Source organism: Homo sapiens, chromosome X (assembly GCF_000001405.40).
Source record: "Homo sapiens chromosome X, GRCh38.p14 Primary Assembly".
Classification (NCBI taxonomy): Eukaryota; Metazoa; Chordata; class Mammalia; order Primates; family Hominidae; genus Homo; species Homo sapiens.
In genome coordinates this window covers 84,375,743-84,399,992 of record NC_000023.11, presented here as the reverse complement: position 1 = coordinate 84,399,992, position 24,250 = coordinate 84,375,743, and the positions used below count along the sequence as shown (strand labels likewise).

Genomic DNA, 24,250 nt, shown 5'->3' with positions numbered 1-24,250 from the left:
CCTTTTCTGCATGTATTGATATATTAATGTGGTTTTTGTCATTGATTCTATTTATGTAATGGATAACATGTATTGATTTGTGTATGTTGAACCAGCCTTGCATCCCAGGGATGAAGCTGACTTGATCATGGTGGATAAGCTTTTTGATGTGCTGCTGGATTCAGTTTGCCAGTATTTTATTGAGGATTTTCACATCGGTGATTATCAGGGATAATGGCCTGAAGTTTTTTTGTGTGTGTGTTCCTGCCAGATTTTACTATCACTATGATGCTGGCCTCATAAAATGAGTTAGGGAGTAGTCTCTCCTTTTCAATTCTTTGGAATAGTTTCAGAAAGAATGGTATCAGCTCCTTGTTGTACCTCTGGTAGAATTTGGCTATGAATATGTCTGCTCTTGGGCTTTTTTTTAGTTAGTAGGCTATTAATTACTGCCTTATTTTCAGAACTTGTTATTGGTCTATTCAGGGAATAGATTTCTTCCTGGTTTAGTCTTGGAGGGTGTATGTGTTCAGAAATTTATCCATTTCTTCTAGATTTTAAAGTTTATTTGTGTAGAGGTATTTATAATATTATCTGATGGTAGTTTGTATTTCTGTGGGGTCAGTGGTGATATCCCCTTTATCATGTTTTATTGTTGTCTATTTGATACTTCTCTCTTTTCTTCTTTATTAGTCTAGCTAGTGGACTATTTCGTTAATTTTTTCAAAAAACAGCTCCTGGATTTATTGTTTTTTTGGGGGGGGGTTTGTGTCTCTATCTCCTTCAGTTGTGTTCTGATCTTAGTTATTTCTTGTCTTCTGCTAGCTTTTGGATTTCTTTGCTCTTGCTTCCATAGATCTTTTAATTGTGATCTTAGGGTGTTGATTTGAGATGTTTCCAGCTTTCTGATGTGGGCATTTAGTGCTATAAATTTTCCTCTTAAAACTGCTTTAGCTGTGTTCAAGATATTCTGGTATGTTGTTTCTTTGTTCTTATTCATTTCAAAGAATTTCTTGATGCCTGCCTTAATTTTGTTATTTACCCAGGAGTCATTCAGGAGCAGGTTGTTCAATTTTCATGTTATTGTGTGGTTTTGAGTGAGTTCCTTAATCCTGAGTTCTAGTTTTGTTGTACTGTGGTCTGAGGGACTGTTTTTTATGATTTCAGTTATTTTGCATCTTTTGAGGAGTGTTTTACTTCCAATTACGTGATCGATTTTAGAATAAGTGCCATGTGGCACTGAGAAGAATGCATATTCTGTTGATTTGTGGTGGAGAATTCTGTAGACGTCCATTAGGTCCACTTGATCCAGAACTGAGTTCACGTCCTAAATATCCCTGCTAATTTTGTCTCTCAATCTGTCTAATATTGACAGTAGGGTGATAAAGTCTCCCACTATTATTGTGTGAGAGTCTAAGTCTCTTTGTAGGTCTCTAAGAACTTGTTTTGTGAATCTGGGTGCTCCTGTATTGGGTGCATATATATTTAGGTTAGTTCTTCTTCTTGAATTGATGCCTTTACCATTATGTAATGCCTTTCTTTGCCTTCTTTGATCTTTGTTGGTTTAAAGTCTGTTTTGTCAGAGACTAGGATTGGAATCCCTGCTTTTTTGTTTTCCATTTGCTTGGTAAATTTTCCTCCATCCCTTTATTTTGAGCCTATGTTTGTCTTTGCACTTGACATGGGTCTCCTGAACACAGCACATTGATGGGTCTTGACTCTTTATCCAATTTGCCACTCCATGTCTTTTAATTGGGGCATTTGGCCCATTTACATTTAAGGTTAATATTGTTGTGTGTAAATTTGATCTGTCATCATGATGCTATCTGGTTATTTTGCACACTAGTTGATGCAGTTTCTTCATAGTGTCATTGGCCTATATATATATATGTGTGTGTGTGTATATATATATACATACACACATACTATATATATATGGTGGGCCACCGCACCACACTGCTCTTCCTTTCTCTCTGTGGGTCACACCAGCTACCTAGTCAGTCCCAGGATGAGAGAACCTGGATACCTTGGTTGCCGGTGCAGGATTCTCACGCTGTTATGGTTATTTTCAATGACAGCCTCTGATTGCTGCTGCTTCTAGTCAGCCATCTTTCAGGTTCTACATTTGTCTGCTTCAATCAATAACATTTATCCACATTTTAGATTCAAGTCTTGTTATAGGACAATTCTTCACTTGAATGCCTTATTGTTAAACATATTAAAGATAGCAAAATAGACTGGAGGTACTTCAAGATGGCTTATAGAGACATCTCATACTCACCTTCACCACAAATAAGAAGCTAAATAGCCAGTAGGTAATCACACTTTGAATAGATTATCCAAAAGAGAACACTGTGGTTCAACAGAAAAGTGACAGGAAATACCTAAAGCACAGAAAGAGAGGGAAGAAAGGCAGCCTCCTCAGCTGGGTTCTGCCTGGAGACTGGTGAGACTCCCAAATGTGGGTAAATGGTAAGTGAGGGATCCCCAGCAGTCCACCTTTCTACCGTGGACTCCTGCAATCTTAAACATGGAAGAGCCTCTTGACCCATGCAGACCCTGCAACTAACAGGGAGCTGCCTGAAGACCACATGATGACACTGCCCAAAGAGGGAACTTGTGCTGTATCCGACCTCCTTGCTGCTCCAAGTTCTAGGCAACTATTGCAAGGTGCCATTTTGAGATCCCAGATCCCAAGACTAGATATGGCCATTGGTCTCAACAGTACCTTCATCTCCACATCCCTGGAGCTTCACTGACATCCCCTACCCACAAACACCACACTGGCTGACGGCTATCAGCAGGGCCAAAACATGGGCAACAGGCAGTGACTCCACTGCCTCCAGGAGAGAAGCCACCATGCAGTGGCAGAATTCCTTAAGTGTAGCTTCAGTTGCTGCATGTTGAAGATGAATTTTGAGTGAAGTGTTGACTGACATTGTGGGAGACAAAGTGTGAGCAAAGAGCATGCTCCCCATACACCTGCATATGGCAGCTGCCACTGAAAGCAACCCCACCCTTCCCAGTGACAAGGCTTCAGTGCAGCTGCTGCCTCTCTTTAGCATTCTACTTGTGGCCTAAGGATTACTCTGTCCCTACCTACCACAACCAATGTCAGTATGCACCACTGTGAGGCCCTAGAACATGCCCATTTAGTCCAGCTTCACCCCCTCATGCCAGAGTATGCAGTCCAGGGGTCTAGGGATCACCCAGCCTGTCTCCTTGAGCACTCCTCCCAGGGAACTGAGGTTGAGCACACCCACCCTGCTGATACTGCCACAGCTGACACTTACAGGCACACACTACCTGAGGACCTGGAGACTGGCCTTCCCAACCCATTGGGGATGCCAACAACACTAGCATTTACTGCTCAAAACCCAGAGAGATATACCACCAATGCTACTGCAATTGCCCATGCCACATCTGCTGTATAGCCTGAGAACTTTCCCACCCATCTGGCCACCACAGCCACAACTGAAATCCAAGCAAACAATGTAGAGGCCCAAGAATCAGCTCCCATAGATCCACTAACACAGGTGCCATAATACTCTGCCTTAGGGCCCAAGGATAGGCAGACTCAGACTACCAATGCCACCACTGGGGTCCAGTCTCAGGCAGAACTTCACTACAGCCTCCAGTAATAACTGCACACTAAAACATCAAGGATATCATAGATACCAATAATGCTATTTACAGAAAAAGAAATCATACAGCGAGTATTCTACTGCATGCACCCAGAATCAAAACCAAAGTGGCCTACCCAACCAACACCATAGATGTATCTTCAGGAAAATGTCTTCCCCTATGAAAACAAATTCAAAAAAATTAGAAGCAATTGTTACACTACATGTGCAGATATCAACATAACAACATAGAGAACGTGAAAATGCAAAGAAATATGACACCTACAAAGGAGCACAATAATTCTTCAGAAATAGATCCAAATCAAAAATAAATGTACAAAATCTTGGAAAATAATTTGTAATAATGATTTTTGAAAACTCAGGGAGATACAAAAGAATACCGAAAACCAATATACAGGAATCAGAAAATTCAGGATATGAATGAGAAATTTGCCAGAGATAGACATCATTAAAAAAATTCTGGGACTAAATAATTCATTGAATGAAGTTCAAAATATATTGGAAAGTTTTAATAATTGATTAAATCAAGTAGAATAAAGAATTTCAGAACTTGAAGACAGATCTTTTGAAATAACCCAGTCAGACAAAAATAAAGAGAATTAAAAAAGATGAACAAAGCCTACATTACATATGGAACACCATAAAGGGACCAAATATTCAAATTTGTGGAGTCCCAGGAGGTAAAGAAAAAATGAATGGGTTAGAAAACATAGGTGATGAAATAATAGGTGAAACCTTTCCAAGTCTAGCAAAAGATTTAGGTATCCAAATACAGGAAGCTCAGGAAGCCTTAAGCACTCACAATGCATAAAGGTCTTTTCCATGGCACAATTTAGCGAAACTTTCTAAAGTCAAAGAAAGAGAGAGAATTCTAAAAACATTAAGGAAAAAGCATCTAGACACCTATAAATGAACCCGCATTTCACTAATAGCAAAATTTTCAGCAGAAACCATACAGGCCGTGAGAGAATGGGATGATATAATTAAAGTATTGGGGAAAAAAAAAAAACTTGCCAATAAAGGATACTACTCTCAATGATGTTATTCTTCATAAATGTAGGAAAAGTAAAGTATTTTCCAGACAAATAAAAGCTGATAGAATTTATCACAACTAGACCAGACCAAGAAATACTTAAGGAAGTACAACAGCAACACACAAAAGAATGATATCAATCATCATGAATACATACAAACATATAAAACCACTAGGAGAGCAAACACACAAACAAAAAAGAAAAAAGACTCAACTCTTACCACTACAGAAAACCACCAAGCCACAACGATGATATGAGAGAAAACAACAATTTATATGCAAAACAACCAGAAATCAATTCATAGGATGACAAGAATAAACTCTGATATAGCAATAATAACCTTAATTGTAAATGGATTTATCTATCCACTTAAAAGATGTAGACATGCTGAATAAAAAAAGTGACCCAGTTATATGCTGCCTACACAAAACTATTCTCACTTGTAAAGACACATATAGGCTGAAAATAAAGGGTTGGAAAAAGATATTTCATGCAAATAGAAACCAAAAGCAAGCAGAGGTAGCTATACTTACATCAGATAAAACAGATGTTAAATAAAAAAAAACTGAAAAGAGACAAAGAAGGTCATTGCATTATGATGAAGGGATCAACTCAGCAAGAGAATGTAATAATTCTAAACATATGTGCATCAAGCACTGGAGCACCTAGATATATGAGGCAAATTGTATTACACTTAAATGGAGAGATAGACTCCAATACAATAATAACTGGGGACTTCAACACACCACTCTCAGCATTAAACCAATCATCTATAAGAAAATTAGCAAAGAAACATTGGACTGAAACTGCATTTTAGACCAAGCGGACCTAACATACATTTATAAAAATTTCATCCAAGAACTACAGAACACACATTCTTCTTATCGAAACATAAAACTTTCTCCAGGATACAACATATGATAAGACAAAAAACAAGTCTCAAGAAATTTTTAAAAGTCAAAGTCGTATCAAGTCTTCTATGACTACAGTGGAACAAACCTAGACATTCATAACAAAAAGAAATTTGGAAACTGTACAAATACATAGAAATTAAACAACATATTCTTGAATTTGGACTATTGGATCAATAAAGAAATTAAGGAGGAAATTCAAAAATTTCTTGAGCCAAATGAAAATGAGAATACCTCATACTTAAACATATGGCATATAGGAAAATGCAGTGCTAAGAGGGAAGTTTATAGCAATAAGCACTTTCATCAAAAAGGCAGAAGTATTTCAAATAAATAATCCAATCATGCATCTCAGGGAAAAGCAAGAAAAAAATCAAAATCAAAATTAGGAAAAGGGAATAAAGATAAGAGTACAATTCAATGAAATAGGGACTAAAAAAATACAAAAGATCAACAAAACAAAGGGTTGGTTTTTGAAAAGATGAACAAAATTGATCAACCATTTGCTGAATTAAAAAACAAAGAAGAACCAAATAAACAAAATCAGAGATAAAAAGTGAGATATCACAGTGAATACCACAGGAATACTAGATTATCAGAGACTATCAGGAGTAACTGTACACTAACAAACTGGAAAACCCAGATGAAATGCAAAAAATCCTGGACACATACAACTTAGCAAGATCAAATTAGAAAAAAATGGAAAACCTGAGCAGACCAATAACAAGTAATGAGATCAAAGCAGTAATCAAGAGTCTCCCAATAAAGAAAAGACCACAATTGGATGACTTCAATACAGAATTCTACCAAACTTTCAAGAAAGAAACCAATTCCTCTCAAAATATGCCAAGAAATTGAAGAAGAATGAATTCTCTTTAACTCATTTTATAATGCCAGCATTACTATGATACCAAAACAAGAAAATAACAATAAAAAAGAAAAAACGACACACCAATTTGTCTGATGAACATAGAAACAAAAATCCTCAACAAAATACTAGCAAAGTATATTCAACAACACATCCAGAAAATAATACACCATGATCAAGTGGGATTTAACTAAGTGATGCAAGGATGGTTCAACACATGAAAATGAATAAACGTGATGTTAACACACCACATCAACAGAATGAAGAACAAAAGCCATATGATCATCTCAATAAGTGCAGAAAATGAATTTGATAAACTTCAACATCCCTTTATGCCAAAGCTCTCAACAAACTAGGCACAGAAAGAACGCACCTCAACATAATAAAGGACATATATGACAAATCCACAGGTAACATCATACTGAATGGGGAAAAGCTGAAATTCTTTAAGAACTGGAACAATACAAGGATGCCACATTTGCTAAGCAAAGTTTTAGAATGTTATAAAATATTTATATTGTAATTCAACATAGTACTGGAAGTCTTAGCAAGAACAATCAGGCAAGAGAAATAAATAAACAGCAACCAAATTGGGAAACAAGAAGTCCAACTATCCCTGTTTACAGATTATATGATCTTATATCTAGAAAGCCTATGGACTCAATCAAAAACTTCTTTGATCTGAAAAATAAATTCAGTAAAGTTTCAGGACACAAAATCAGTAGACAAAAAAAAAAATCAGTATATAAAAATCCATAGATACAAAATTAGTGATAAAAAAATCAGTAGCTACAAAAATCAGGATACGAAAGTCAGTAGAATTTCTATTCACTAATAATAAAGTAGCCAAGAAAAAAATAAAGAGGGCAATCCAATTTACCATAGCTAAAAAAGTAAAATACCTAGGAATAAATGTAAGCAAGGAGGTGAAAAAGCTCTACAAGGAAAACTACAAAATAATAATAAAATAAATTGAAGAGGACACAAAAAATGAAAAGACACCCCATGCACACATATTGAAATCATTTAGATCATTAAAATTATTATACTGCCCAAAGCAATCAACAAATTCAATGCAATCCCTACCACGATACCAGAGTCATTTTTCACATAATTAGAAAAAATGAATCCTAAAATTTGCATGGAACAAATGGGGAGCCCAAATAGCGAAAGCAATCCTGGGAAAAAAGAACCAAGCTGGAGGTACCGCACTACCTAACTTCAAAATATATTACAAGGCTGTAGTGACCAAAGAGTATGGTATTGATATAGAAACAGGCGCATAGGACAATGGGACATAAAAGAGGACCCAGAGATCAATATGCATATTTAAAGTCAACTGATTTTCAATATAGGTGCTAAGTACATACATTTGGGAAATGATAGTCTCTTTAATAAATGGTGCTTGGAAAATCAAATATTCGTATGCAAAAGAATGAAAGTGAACCCTTATTTCTCACCATATACAAAGGCTTAAATGTGAGATTCAAATCTATAATACTACTGGAAGGAAACCTAGAGAAAAATCTTCATGACCTTAGTCTAGGCAAAGATTTTATGCTTAAGAACTCAAAGGCACAGACAACAAAACACAAATAGACAAGTGAAATTATACTAAACTAAAAACTTCTGTACAACAAAGGAAGCAATCAAGAGAATGAAGTCACAACCTGTTGAATGGAAGAAAATATTTGCAAACTATTCATTTGATAAGGGACTAATATCCAGAATATACAAGGGACTCTAATAACTCAATAGCTAAAAAACAATCCTATTAAAAATTGGGCAAATAATCTAGGCATTTCTCAAAAAAGACATAAATATGACTGACAGGTATATGAAAAAATGCTCAACATTCCTAACTAACAAAGAAATGCAAAACAAAACCATGATGAGATATCACACCCCAGTTGAAATGGCTTTTATCCAAAAGACAAAAAATAACAAATGTTAGTGAGGATGCAGAGAAATAGGAACTCATATACTTTTGGTGAGAATATAATGCCGTAGAGCCACTATGGAAAACAGTATGGAAATTTGTCAAAAAAAAAACTAATAGCAGCACTCCCACATAATCCAGCAATCCTAATACTGAATATTTATCCAAGAGAAATCACTATATCAAATATAGGAATGCCTGCACTACCATGTTTATCACAGCAGTATTCACAATAGCAAACATATGGAATTAACCAAAGTGTCAGTCAATGGAGAAGTGGATAAAAAATGTGGTATATATACACAATGGTATGTTATTCAATCATAAAAAAGAATGAAATCATTTCATTTGCAGCAACGTGGATGGAAATGGGGACCATTATGTTAAATGAGATAAGCCAGGCACAAAAATACAAAATCACATTCTCATTCATATGTGACAGCTAAAAACGTTTATCTCACAGAATAGAATGACAGATGCCAGAGGCTGGGAATAGTGTGGATGGGAGGGGTGATTAAAAAAGGTTTATTAATGGATACAAATATACAGTTACATACAAGAAATAATTTCCAATGTTTGATAGGAAAGTGGGATGACTATAGTTAGCAACAATGTATTGTATATTTCAGAGGCTGGAAGGTGGGGCTTGAAATGTTCCTAACACAGAGAAGCGATAAATACTCCAGATGCTGGATATCCCAAATTCCCTGACTTGATCATTACACATTCTATGCATGCAACAAATACATGTACCCCATAAGTATGCAAAATATTATGTCCCAATAAGAAAAGATACACATTTGTTTAAATGTGCTTTTTAAGCAAGTTTACTGTACCACAGAATGTGTAAGTAATCATTTTCACTTACTTTGTTTTTTTGCTAACAATTTAAGGGCATGAGTTTGCAAAAGCTGTCACACCTTAAAATCTTTTGACAGCTTGCATATATTCTTCTTTGGTAAGCTGAATAATGACAGCTGAATATTAATACTCATTTATCTTGGATAATTATGAAATTGTCTAGTCTGGACTAGTGAATTGCTGGAGCTATTCTATGAGCCGCTTGTGTTATAATCGTGCTCTTAAATCCATTCTAGGGGTAATACAAAGGTAAGTTAATTGTTCCAATCCCTGCCCACCCTCTAGAAGCTTCTAGCTAAAAGCTAAGCAAATTTTCAGAACGTGATAAAATATTTATACTATAACTGGTTAAGTACAACAGAGGCTATATCACAGTAAGCTACAATATTGAAAACAGAAATTCACTCTTAAAAATTTACTAGTAAAAATAAATTTAGTTATTACACCTATTAATAACAGATTATTTTACAACTTTTAAAACTGTATACTTTAAAACTAGAGGCACATGTCATTAGAGAGTGTGGTTAAATCTAGAGACTGAATGTAATATTAACAAAACAATGATGGGGGAGGGGACAAGATGGTCAACTAGATGCAACCAAGAAGCACTACTCCCATGGAGACAGACCTAATTACGAAGTAAACCACCATAATGTGGGAAGATCTTTGGAGAGAAATATATGAGGGTGGATAGAACGGTTACACTGGGGCCTAGGCTGAAGAGGGAGGAAGCTGGAAACCCTGCGCAAGATACATGAATGCTAGAGCTACTTTCAGACCCTGGAGAGCGCCTGAAAAGAGGGTAAGTGAAAGAATGAAAGGACAGCTCACTCTTGCCATTGACCTATGGGATCCTAGATACAGGGGACCACGCATTCCCGACAGACATGTGAGCTGGTCTGGGGAATCTTCCCATGGAACAAGTAGAGATATGCCTTTAAACGGCTTAAAGGCCAGGAGTTTTTGTGCACTGGGCAGCTCCGGTGGAGAGCAGTAATAGATGGCCATCTCCCAGCACTCCCCATTTTTCTCTGGGAGGCACAGGCCTTAGCTGACCTCTGAGCCAGAAGAGAGTGAAACCTGCTTCTCCATGGGACTGACGCATGTCTATTCTGCACAGCGCAGCCTCTGCAGCCCAGCCTCAGTGCATTGCTCCACCTGAGTATTTTCCTGGTGACCTGGGAAAACATTGGATCCCTCAGTGCGGCCAGAACCCAACTCCAAGCCTTGGGACATCCTAGTGCCTCAGGGCTGTGGCATGCAGCTCTGGAGTAGGTAGCCAAGATCTAAGGCCAGCACTCAAGCAGGGAAGGAGCCCCCAACCTGAGAGCACTGAGAAGGGCAAGATGGGTGAGTCCCTGAGTCAGGGCAGGAGTAGGGTGTGCCTTCCTCTGCCAGGCTGGTCCAGAAAGGGTGTGGCCACTGTGTCTGCCTGAGGTGGCCCTTTGGCCCACAATATCTAACAAAAGAAAGCCAGGCGTGGCAGTGGTGATTGAAGGGAGCTCTGAGAAAGCCGAAGAGCAAATCTGGTGAGGGTGCCGTCTCTCCACTCCCAAAGCAGAGCATGCCTGCAAATGACAAAAAGTACAAAGGAGTCATGTGGCTATTAGCCTAACTACTGGCCATCACTCCCTAGCTTCAGCTACTGGATAAAAGTCAAAACTACAACGCCAAATATTCTGCCAATATATACACCTGTGAAACCGAGCACAATAATTCACCCATACATAAGGATCCTGTACAGAGCCCTGGCCCTCTGAGTGTCAAGAATGAAAGCCAACTGACTATACTCAACTTACACCACAGTTAAAGGAATACCAAGCTTCTCAGATGAGAAATAAGCACAAAAGTCTGGCAATTAAAAAAGCCAGAGTGTCCCTTACCTTCAAAAGCCACAGTGTCCCTTACCCACTAGCTCCCCAGCAATGGTTCTTAACCAGTCTGAAGTGACTGAAATGACAGACATAGAATTCAGCATCTTGATGGCAAGGAAGTGTACTGAGATTCAGGAGAAAGTTGAAACCCTATCCAAGGAATCCAAGAAATCTAGTAAAATGATCCAAGAGCTGAAGGATAAAATAGACATTTTAAGAAAGACGTAAACCAAACTTCGAAAGCTAAAAAAACCACAAGAATTTCACATTACAATCTGAAGCATTAACAGCAGAATAGGCTAAGCTGAGGAAAGAATTTCAGAGCTCAAAGACAAGTTCCTTAAATCAATTCAGTCAGACAAAAAATAAAGAGAAAAAGAATTAAGAAAAATGAACAAAACCTCTTAGAAATATGGGATTATGTAGAAAAAACAAATCTACAGTTCATCAGCATTCCTGAGAGGAGACAGCATAAGCGACTTAAAAATATATTGGAGGACATCATCCATGAAAATTTCCCTAATCTCTCTGAGGATGTTGACATGCAATCCAAGAAATACATAAAACCATGTCTAGATACTATAAAAGATGACCATTCCTAAAACACACAGTCATCAGAGTCACCAAGGTCAATGCAAAATTAAAAAAAAAACTTAAAGGCAGCTAGAAAAAAGGGTCAAGTCACATATAGAAGGAACACCATCAAGCTAAAAGTAGACCTTTCAGTAGAAACCTTATAAGCCACAAGATATTGAGGGCCTATTTTTAGCATCCTTAAAGGAAAGAAATTATAACCAAGTATTTCATATTTCACCAAACTAAACTTCATAAACAGAAAAGAAACAAAATCCTTCTCAGACAAGCAAATGATAGTGGCGTTCATTTCAACTAGACAAGTCTTATTAGAGGTTGTTAAGTTAGTGCTAAACAGGGAATCAAAACAACACCTGCTAACACAAAACACACATAAGTACACAGCACACAGGTTCTATAAAGCAACTATGCAATCAAGTCTACATAACAACCATCACAAAATCAAAATCTCACATGTCAATATCAACCCTGAATGTAAATGGGCCACATTCCCCCACTTAAAAGATACAGAGTTGCACGCTGGATAAAAGAGAAGATTCAACCATCTATTGTCTTCAAGAGATCCATCTCACATGTAACAGCACACCCAGGCTCAAAATAATGTGTTGGATAAAGATATGCCATGAAAACAGAAAAAAAATGAGCAGGAGATGCTATTTTTATATCAGATAAAACAGACTTTAAACCAACAAAAATTAAGAAAGACAATGATGGGCATAACATATTGATAAAGGGCACAATCCAACAAGAAGACTTTACTAAATATATGTAGATCAAACATTGGAGTACTCACATATATAAAACAAGGTCTTCTCGGCCTACAAAAAGACTTAGACAATCACACAATAATACTAGGCGGTTTCAACACCCCACTGACATTGTTAGACAGATCATTGAGGCAGAAAACTAACAAAGAAACTTGACACTTGACCAGTTGGACCTAAGAGACATTACAAGTCACTCCGTCCAGCAACCACAGAATATACATTCTTCTCACCTGCACACAGAACATATTCAAAGGTTGACCACATGCTCAGACATAAAGCAAGTCTTAATAAATTTTTTAAGAAAAATTGAAATCACACAAAGCACACTCTCAGTCCGTAGTGCAATACAAACAAATGAATATCAAGATCTCTCGAAACTACACAAATATATGGAAATTAGACAAAGTGTTTCTTAATAATTCCTGGGTTAACATCAAACTTAAGTCAAAAATTTAAAAAATCCTTGAAATTAATGAAAATAGGAACACAACTTACCAAAATCTCTGGAGTGAAGCTAAACCAGTGTTAAGAGGAAAGTTTATGGCCCTAAATCCCTTCAAGAAGTTAGATCTCAAATTAATAACCTAACTTTGCAACTAAAGGAACTAGGGAAAAAAAAGAAACAAATCAACCCCAAAGCTAGCAGAAGAAAATAAATAACTAAAATTAGAAAAGAATTAAATAAAATTGAGCTGAAAATATCCATATAAAAGATTGTGAAATGAAGGGACTGTTTCTTTGCAAAGACAAATAAGATTGGAAAGCCATTATCTAGATTAACACAGAAAAAATCCAAATAATTTCAATCAGAAATGACAATAGTGACATTACAACTGATCCCACAGAAATATAAGATGCTCCAAGATTCCTAGGAATGACTCCATGCACACAAATTAGAAAATCTAGAGGAAATAGATAAATTCCTGTAAACACACAGTCTTCTATGATTGAATCAGGAAGACATTGAAACCCAGAATACACCAATATCAAACTCTGAAGTTTTATCAGTAATAACAAACCTGTCAACCAAAAAAAGTTCTGCATCAGATGGATCCACTGCTGAATTCTACCAGAGGTAGAAAGAAGAACTGGTACCAATTATCATGAAACTATTGCAAAAAATGAAGGAGTAGGGTTTCCTCCGTAACTCAGCCTGTGAAACGAGCATTACCCTAATACAAAAATCTGACAGAGACACAATGAAGAAAAAAAATAGGGCCACTAATTCTCATGAAGATAGATGCAAAAGTTCACAGGAAAATACTAGTAAATCTAATCCAGCAGCACATCCAAAAGTTAATTTACCACAATACAAGTAGGCTTCATTCCTGAGATGCAAGTTTGACTCAACATACATAAATCAATGAATGTGATAAAACATGTGAAGAGAATTAAAATAAAAAACATATAATCATCTCAATATACACATAAAAAGTTTTCCATAAAATCTAACATTCTTCATGATAAAAACCTTCAACAAACCAGGTATTGAAGGAATATCCCTCAAAATAATAAGAGCCATCTGTGACAAACCCACAGCCAACAAAATATTGAAAGGGCAAAAGCTAGAACCATTCCCCTTGAGAACTGGAACAAGACAAGGATGCCCACAACCACCACTCCTATTTAACATAATACTGGAAGTGCTAGCAAGAGCCACCAGGCGAAAAAAAAAAAAAAAAAACCATTCAAGTAGGAAAAGAACAAGTCAAATTATCTCTCTGTTGACGATATGATTTTATACTTAGAAAACCTTAAAGACTGTAAAAAAAAGGCAACTAGAATTGATAAACAATTTTAGTAAGGTTTCAGGATACAAAATCCATGTACAAAATTTAGTAGCATTTCTATACACCAATAACATGCAGACTGAGAATCGAATCAAGAACACAATCCCATTTACAAATCCCAGAAAGAAAGTAAAATACCTAGGAATGCAGCTCACCAAGAAGGTGAAAGATGTCTGTAAGGAGAACTACAAAAAAACTGCTGCAAGAAATCAGAGATGAGGCCGGGCGCGGTGGCTCACGCCTGTAGTCCCAGCACTTTGGGAGGCCGAGGCGGGCGGATCACGAGGTCAGGAGATTGAGACCATCCTGGCTAAAACGGTGAAACCCCGTCTCTACTAAAAATACAAAAAATTAGCCGGGCGTAGTGGCGGGCGCCTGTAGTCCCAGCTACTTGGGAGGCTGAGGCAGGAGAATGGCGTGAACCCGGGAGGCGGAGCTTGCAGTGAGCCGAGATCCCGCCACTGCACTCCAGCCTGGGCGACAGAGCGAGACTCCGTCTCAAAAAAAAAAAAAAAAAAAAAAAAAAAAAAAAAAAGAAATCAGAGATGACACAAATATATGGAAAAAATTCCATGCTCATGAATTGGAAAAATCAATATCATTAAAATGGCCACATCACCCAAAGCAATTAACAGTCAGTGCTATTCCTGTGAAACTCTGAACATCATTCTTCAAAGAATGAGAAAAAAAAATTCTAACTTTCACATGGAACCAAAACAAGCCTAAATAGCCAAGGGCAAATCTAAGAAAAAGAACAAAGCTGGAGACATTATACTACGTGACTTCAGACAATACTGTAAGGCTACAGGAACCAAAACAACAAAGTACTGGTACAAAAACAGACACACAGACCAATGAAATAGAATAGAAAACTCAGAAATAAAGCCACACACTTATAAGCACTTGATCTTTAACAAGACCAAGAAAAACAGAAAATAGGAAAAGTACTCCCTATTCAATAAATGGTGTTGAGGTAACTGGCTAGTCATTTGCAAAATAATGAAATTAGACCCTTATCTTTCACCATATATAAAAATTAACTCAAGATGTATTAAAGATTTAAATATAAGACTGAAAACTACAAAAATCTTACAGGAAAACTTAGGAAATACCCTTCTCCACATTAGCTTTGGTGAGGAATTTTTGGCTAAGTTCCCAAAAGCAATTACAGAAAAAAAAAAAAAAACTTGACAAGTGGGACCTAATTAAACTAAATAGATTCTACACAGTGAAGTTAACTATCAACAGAATAAACAGACAACCCACAGAATGGGAAAAAAATATTCACAAACTGTGCATACTACAAAGGCCTGATATCTAGAATCTAAAAAACTTAAACAAATCAACAAAAAACAACCCCAATACAAAATGGGCAAAGACACGAAAAGGAGGCATATAAGCAGCCAACAAAAACATGAAAAAATGCTCATCAATAATCATCAGAGAAATGCAAATCAAAACCACAATGAGATATGATCTCACATAGCTCAGAACGGCTGTTATTAAAAAGTCAAAAATAACAAATACTGGCAAGGTTGCACAGAAAAGAGAATGCTTATACACTGTTGGTGGAAATGTAAACTGGTTCAGCCACTGTAGAAAGCCCTTTGGAGAGTTCTCAAAGAACTAAGAGTTGAACTACCATTTGACCCAGCAGTTACATTATGGGTTATATACCCAAAGGAAAATAAATTGCTCTACCGAGAAGACATATGCTTCCATGTTTATCGCAGCAATATTCACAATCGTAAAGACGTAGAATCCACCTAAATGTCTATCAACAGTGGACTAGATAAAGAAAATGTCATACATATACACCATGGAATACTATGGAGGCATAAAAGGGAACAAAATCATGTCCTTTGCAGTAACATGAATGAAGCTGGAGGCCATAATCTTAAGTTAATTAATGTAGAAACATAAAACCAAATACCGCATGCTCTTACTTATAAGTGGGAGCTGAACTTTGAGCATGCATGGACATAAACATGGGAACAATAGACACTTTGAGCAACTAGAGTGGGGAGAGAGGGGGTCAAAGATTGAAAAACTGCATATTGAGTATTGTGCTTACTAACTTGGTGCAATATACCCATGTAACAAACCTGTGCATGTACATCCTGTATCTAAAATGAAAGCTGAAATTTAACAGAAATGACAGCAACTACAAGTAAATGTAGCCAGACATATGATCTTGATGACTTTTAACATTTTTAGTACTTATTACTGAATATAACCGTGGAAATTCCATGAAATGCGCATTAATATAAAATGACAATATACTTAAGCTTAGTTTTTTCAGTTTTACTTACAGAATAAACTATACATACTACACATTATTTTGGAAATTGTTTATAAAGTTCTGTACTAGGTAAATATTTTTCTAGTTTCTATTTCAATTACCAATTATGAAATAACATTTCAAAATTTATGTGAAGTATTACAAAATTACCTAGGAATAGTCTTTTCTCTCTTTGGGTGAGAGAGAGTAATCATTCTTAAATATTCTTGTTGATTCTAAACATTTGCTAGGGTGTGTCTGCCTTCCCAAAAGTTTTTCACCCCGTATTGGTGGTGGCATTATTATAAAGGTAGATTAGGAAGGCCAGGATTAAGAAGAATGCTACCTTTTTATTTTATATATACTACACGTTAATTTTATATATTGTTCAAGTTTTCACAATGATCACAAATTAATTTCATTTTTAAAACTCAAGAATTTTTTTTATATTTAATTTTTGAGGGTACATAGTAGGTATATATATTATGCGGCGCATGAGATGTTTTGATACAGGCATGCAACGTGAAATAAGCACATCATGGAGAATGGGATATCCCATCTCCTCGAGCATTTATCCTTTCTATTACAAACAGTCCAATTACACTCTTTTAGTTATTTTAAAAAATACAATTAATATATTATGGACTACAGTCATCCTGTTGTGCTATCAAGTAGTATGTCTTGTTCATTATTTCTGACTCTTTTTGTAGCCATTAACTATCCTTACCTCCCCTTATGCCCTCCACTACACTTCCCAGCCTCTGGTAACCATCCTTCTACTCTCTAGGTCCATGAGTTCAATTGTTTTGGTTTTTAGATCCCACAAATAACTGAGAACATGTGATATTTGTCTTTCTGTGTCTGGCTTATTTCACTTGACATAATGAACTCCAGTTCTATTCATGTTCTTGCAAATGACTGAATCTTATACTTTTTATAGCTGACTAGTACTTCATTGTGTGTACGTACTATATTTTCTTTATCCATTCATCTGTTGATGGACACTTAGGTTGCTTCCAAATTTTGGCTATTGTAAACTGCTGAAACAAACATGGGAGTGCAGATATCTTTTAGATATACTGATTTCCCTTCTTTTGAGTATATTCCCAGCAGTGGGATTGCTGGATCATATGGTACTTATATTTTTAGTTTTCTAACAGTCCTCCAAACTGTTCTCCATAGTGTTTGTACTAATTTACATTTCCACCAACAGTGTGCAATGGTTCCCCTTTTTCCACATCCTCGCCAGAATTTGTTATTACCTATCTTTTGGATACAAGCCACTTTAGCTGAGGTAAGATAATGCCTCATTGTAGTTTTGATTTGCATTTCTCTGAGGATCAGTGATGTTGAGCACCTTTTCATATGTCTGTTTGCCATTTGTATGTCTTCTGAAAAATATCTATTCAAATCTTTTGCCCATTTTTAATTGGATTATTAGATTTTTTTCTATAAAGTTGCTTGAGCTCCTTATATGTTCTGGTTATTAATCCCTTGTCAGATGGGCAATTTGCAAATATTTGCTCCTTCTATGGGTTGTCTTTTCATTTTGTTGTTTTCTTTGTCGTGCAGAAGATTTTTAGCTTGACATGATCCCAGTTGTTCATTTTTTTGCTTTGATTGTCTGTGCTCGTGTGGTATTATGCAAGAAATTTTTGCCCAGCCCAATGTCCTAAAGGTTGTTTCCAGTGTTTTCCTGTAGTAGTTTAATAGTCTGAGGTTATAGACTAAATGTTTAAGGCCATTTTGTTTTGATTTTTGTATATGGCAAAAGATAGGAGTCTAGTTTTATTCTTCTGCATATGAATATCCAGTTTTCCCAGCACCATTTATTGAAGAAACTGTCTTTTTCCCCAGTGTATGTTTTTGGCACCTTTATGGGAATGAGTTTACTGCAGGTGTGTGGATTGGATTTGTTTCTGGGTTATCTATTTTATTCCATTGCTCTACATGTCTATTTCTTATGCCAGATCATGCTGTTTTGGTTACTATAGCTCTGTAGTATAATTTGAAGGCAGATGATGTAATTCCTCCAGTTTTGTTATTTTTGCCTAGAATAGCTTTGGCTATTCTGGGTCTTTGTGGGTCTGTATAAATGTTATGATAGTTATTTTCTCTGTGGAGAATGTCCCTGGTATTTAGATAGTGATTGTACTGAATCTGTAGATTGCTTTGGTGACTATGGAAATTTTAACATTATTGATTATTTCCGTCGATGAACATGGAATGCTTCTCCATTTTGTGGTGCCCTTTTCAATTTCTTTCATCAGTGTTTTGTAGTTTTCATTATGGAGATCTTTAACTTCTTTGGTTAATTCCTACGTATTTATTGTGGCTATTGTAAATGGGATTCCTGTTTAATTTCTTATTCAGATTGTTCACTGTTGACATATAGAAATGCCACTGATTTTTGTATGTTGATTTTGTATCTTGTAACTTCACTGAATTTATCGGTTCTAAATGTTTTGTGTGTAGTCTTTAAATTTTTCCAAATATAAGATCATATCATTTGCAAAGAAGGATAATTTGACGTCTTCCTTTCCTATATTCATGCCCTTTATTTTTTCTCTTTTCTCATTGCTCTTCCTAGAACTTCCAGTAGTATATTGAATAACTGGTGAAAGTGGGCCTCCTTGTTGTTTTCAATATCTCTGAGAAAGGGCTGTCATTTCTTCCCGTTCAATATGATACTGAGTGTCATATATGCCTTTTATTATGTTGAGGTATGTTTCTTCTATCCCTGGTTTTGTGATGGCTGTTGTTTTATCATGAAGCAATGTTGAATTTTATCAAGTGCTTTTTTAGCATTAATTGGCATAATCATAAAGTCTTTACCTTTCATTCTGTTGGTGTGATGTATCACATTGACTGATTTTCATATGTTGAACCATGCTCGCATACCAGAAATAAATCTCACGTGGTCAGGATGAACGATATTTCTAATATTTGGTTGAATTCTCTTTGCTAGTGTTTTGTTGAGGATGTTTACATCGATATTTATCAGAGATATTGACTTACAGTTTTCTTTTTTTTTTTGAGGTGTCTTTATCTGGTTTTGATATCAGCATAATACTGACTTCATAAAATGAGTTTGGAAGTATTTTCTCTTCCTCTATTTATTGGAATAGTTTAAGTAGGATTGGTACTAGGTCTTTATTAAATGTTTGCCAAAATTGAGCAGTGAAACCACTGGGTCCTGGTTTTTTTTTTTATTGGGAGGCTTTCTTATTACAGCTTTGATCCCGTTACTTGTTATTGGTCTGTTTGGGTTTTGGATATCTTTGTGGTTCAATCTTTGTAGGTTGTATGTGTGTAAGAATTTGTACATTTCTGCTATATTTTTCAATTTATTGGCATATAGTTGTTCATTGTAGCCACTAGTGATCTTTTGAATTTCTGCAGTATGAGTTGTACTGTCTTCTTTTTCACTTCTGATTTATTTATTTGTATCTTCTCTTTTTGTTTTTGTTAGTGTCGCTAAAGGTTTGTCAATGTTGCTTAAGTTTTCAAAAAATAAAAACAACTCTTTGTTTCATTGATGTATTGTTTTCTTCATTTCAATTTCATTTTTGGTTTCATCTTTATTATTTATTTTCTTCTACTAATTTGGAGTCTGGATTTTTCTTGCTTTTCTAGTTCTTTGAGATGCATTATTAGATTGTGTATTTGATGATTTTTCCCTTTTTTGAGATAGGCAATTATAGCCATAAACTCTTAGTACTGCTTTTCTGTATCCCATAGGTTTTGGTATGTTTTGTTTCTATTATTTGTTTCAAAAAAATTTTAAAGTTTCTTCTTAATTTCTTTATTTACCCACTGGTTATTCAGAAGCATATTGTTTATTTTCTTTGTATTTGCATAATTTACAAAATTCCTCTTGCTATTGATTTCTAGTTTTATTCATTTGTGGTCAGAGATGATGCTTGATATTATTTCATTTTTTTGAATGTTTTAAGGTGTCTTTTGTGATTACACATATGGTCTATCCTTGAAAATGATCCATGTGCTGAGGAAAAGAATATATTCTTCAGCTCTTGGATGAAATGTTCTGTAAATATCTATTAGACCCATTTGGTGTATAGTGCAGATCAAGTCTAATGTTTCTTTGTTGATTTGCTGTCTGAAAGACCTGTCCAATGATGAAAGTGGGGTGTTGAAGTCTCTAGCTATTATTGTATTGGGACCTATCTCTCTCTTTAGCTCTAATAATATTTCAGATCTATATGGGTGTTCCAGGTTTGATTATATATATATAAAATCAAATTTGATCATATATATAATTTGATTATATATATAAAATCAAATTTGATCATATGTATAATTTGATTATATATATAATTGTTACATCCTCTTGCTAAATTGACACCTTTATTATTATATAGTGACCTTCTTTGTTTCTTCTTACAGTTTTTTCTTGAAATCTACTTTGTCTGATATAAGTATAGCAACTCCTAATCTTTTTTGGTTTCCATTGGTATGAAACATCTTTTTCCATCTCTTTATTTTCAGTCTATATGTGTCTTTATAGGTGAAGTGTGTTTCTTGTAGACAACAGATTAATGAAATGCATCTTGATTTTTCATCCATTCAGTCATCTATGTGTTTTTGTTGGAGAGTTTAGTCCATTTACATTCAGTGTTATTATCAATAAGTAAGGACTTACTCCTGCCATTGTTATTTGTTTTCTGTTTGTTTTGTGGTCTTCTCTTCCTTTCTTCCTTTCATTCCTTTCTTCCTCTAGAGAAAGTGATTTTGTCTGGTAAGATGATTTAGTTTCTTGCTTTTTATTTTTTGTGTATCTGTTGTATGCTTTTCTGTTTGAGGTTATCATGAGGCTTGCAAGTACTATCTTGTAACCCATTATTTTAACCTTATAACAATGTAACACTATTTGCATAAACAAACAAAAGAAAACTAATATATATTCTACACCTTAAGTTTGTTCTCTTGCTTTTTAACTTTTTGTTTCTAATTGTACTTTATTGTACTGTCTATGTCTTAAAAAGGTTTTGTAGTTATTATTTTTGATCGGTTTATCATATAGTCTTTCTACTTAGGATAAGGGTAGTTTATACTCCACAGTTATGGTGTTATAATATTCTGTGTTTTTCTGTGTACTTACTATTACCTGTGAGTGATTAAAGTGATTACTTATTGCTCATTTACATTATTTTCTTTCTGATTGAAGTACTCCCTTTAACATTTCTTACAGAACAGGTCTCGCGTTAATGAAACCCTCAGATTTTGTTCATCTGGGAATGTCTTTATTTCTTTATGTTTGGAGGGAATTTTCGCTGGATATGCTATGCTAGGTCAAAAGTGATTTTTTTCTTCAGCACTTTAAATGTGTCATGCCACTATCTCCTGGCCTGTAAGGTTTCCACTGAAAAGTCTGCTGCCAGATGTATTGGAGCTTCATTGTTGTTTTTTGTTTCTTTTCTCTTGCTGCTCTTAGGATATTTTCTTTATCATCTATGTTTGGGAGTTTGATTAGTAAATGCCTTGAGGTAGTCTTCTTTGGGTTATATCTAGTTGATGATTTATAAACCTTTTGTACTTGGATATTGATATCATTCTCTAGGTTCAGGAAGTATTCTGATATTATCCCTTTGAATAACCTTTATATCTCTATGTCTTTATCTACCCTGTCTTTAAGGCCAATAACTCTTAGATTTGCCCTTTTGAGTCTATTTTCTAGATCCTCTATTTGTGCTTCATTGTTTCTTATTTTTTTTTCCTTTTGTCCCTCTGACTGTGTATTATTAAATAACATGTCTTCAAGCTCACTAATTCTTTGTTCTGCTTGATTCATTCTGTTGTTAGAGATCTCTGATGCATTCTTTGGTATATCAATTGCATTTTGAGCTCTGGAATTTCTGCTTGATTCGTTTTAATTATTTCAGTATCTTTGTTAAATTTATCTGATAGGATTCTGAATTTCTTCTCTGTATGAGCTTGAATTTCTTTTTCCTCAACATAGCTACTTTCCATTCTCTGTCTGAAAGGTAACATATCTCTGCTTCTCCAGGATTAGTCCCTTGTGTCTTATTTTCTTCATTTGGTGAGTTCATGTTTTCCTGGATTGTGTTCATGCTAGTACATATTCTTTGGTATCTGCACATTGAAGAGTTAGGTATTTATTACAGTCTTCACTGTCTGTTCTTAGTTGTGTCAATCCTTTTTGGGAAGGAGTTCCAGATATTTGAAAGGACTTGGGTGTTGTAATCTAAGCTCTATCTGCTTTGGGCACACCTCAAGACCAATAACGCTGTGATTCTTGCAGATCCAGAGTTGTACTGCCTTCATGGTCTTGACAATGTCTGGGATAATTCTCTGAATTACCAGACAGAGACTTATTATCTTCCCTTACATTTTCCCAAACAAACGAGGTCAGTCTTTCTCTTTCTGAGTACCTAAATCTGGGAGTGTAGTGACACAAACACTGCTGTGGCCACCATCACTATGACTTCATTGGGTCAGACCTGAAGCTAGCACAACATGTGGTCTCTCCCAAGGTCTGCTGTAACCACTCCCTGGCTACTGTCTATGTTCGCACTAGGCCCTGGGGCTCTACAATCAGCTGGTGGCAAAACAAGCCAACCCGGGGTCCTTCCCTTCAGGGCAGGGAGGTTCTCCAGGCCCCAGGTGGGTCCAGAGGTGCCATCCAGGAATCTGGGACTAGAGTCAATAACTTTAGTCAATAAATTTACCTGTTGTTCTATTGTACTGTGGCAATAGTGCAAAAGAAATACAAGATGCAGTCCTTCCCACTTTTCCCTACCCTTGCCAAAGGCAAAAGAGCCTCATCCTCTCATCCTGTAGCCCCCAACACCACAGACCATGGAAGTACTGCCAGACTACTGCCAACATTCCCTTAGGACCCAAGCGCTGTTAAGTCAGTTTATGGTGAATGCTGCCTGGTCTGAGACTCAACTTTCAGGGAAGTGCACTCCCCTCTGGCTCAGGGAAAGTCCAGAAATTTCATAGAAGAGTCAAGTCCTAGAATCAGAGACCTCAAGGGCCCTCTTTGTGCTCTACCCAGTTGTGGCCATGCTGGTACCTAAGATGCTAGACAAATTTCCCTTTATTTTTTCCTCTGCTTTTCTCAAGCAGAAGGAGCTTCACCTTGTAGTCCCCACGGCTAGTCATGTGCTGAGTCTCACCTGAAGCCAGAAAGTCTCAGAGGCTCACCCAAGACCCTTGGCGTAGTACCTGGATATTGCTGCTAGCTATTCGCGGCCTAAGGGCTCTTCAGTTAGTAGGTCATGGATGCTTCTAGCACTAGGTCCTTTTCTGCAAGGCAACAGTTCCCTTCTGGCACAGGCCATGTATACAAATGTCTGGGAGCTAGGGCCTAGCAGGTGATCTCCAGTTGTTAAATCATAATCTCCAGTTGTTAAATTAGTGTCCTTTTAGGGGGATGATCAGTCGAGCCTTCTATTCTGCCATCTTGTTCTGTCTTCTAAGCCAAAAATTGTTTTTCTTCTTTAAGAAAAAGTTTGAAGTGATTCAAATACACTTTTCACTTTTCAATTTGTATTTTTTATTTTATTATTATTATACTTTAAGTTTTAGGGTACATGTGCACAATGTGCAGGTTAGCTACATATGTATACATGTGCCATGCTGGTGTGCTGCACCCATTAACTCGTCATTTAGCATTAGGTATATCTCCTAATGCTATCCCTCCCCACTCCCCCCACCCCAC

The 24,250-nt window shown here is 36.1% G+C and overlaps 1 protein-coding gene across 13 annotated transcripts in view, besides 1 other annotated feature; it reads left to right on the top strand.

The window, feature by feature from the left end:
• HDX (highly divergent homeobox) overlaps nt 1–24,250 on the top strand; it is a 184,576-nt gene that overhangs the window by 102,461 nt on the left and 57,865 nt on the right. The window lies entirely within an intron of this gene.
• Nucleotides 10,096–11,295: an enhancer, noted in NCBI's record as "CDK7 strongly-dependent group 2 enhancer chrX:83643706-83644905 (GRCh37/hg19 assembly coordinates)". NCBI's record gives its function as "activates an origin of replication core promoter dependent on BRD2, BRD4, P300/CBP, MED14 and CDK7 cofactors, with strong dependence on CDK7, by STARR-seq in HCT116 cells {active_cell/tissue: HCT116}" and the evidence as "EXISTENCE:reporter gene assay evidence [ECO:0000049][PMID:35650434]".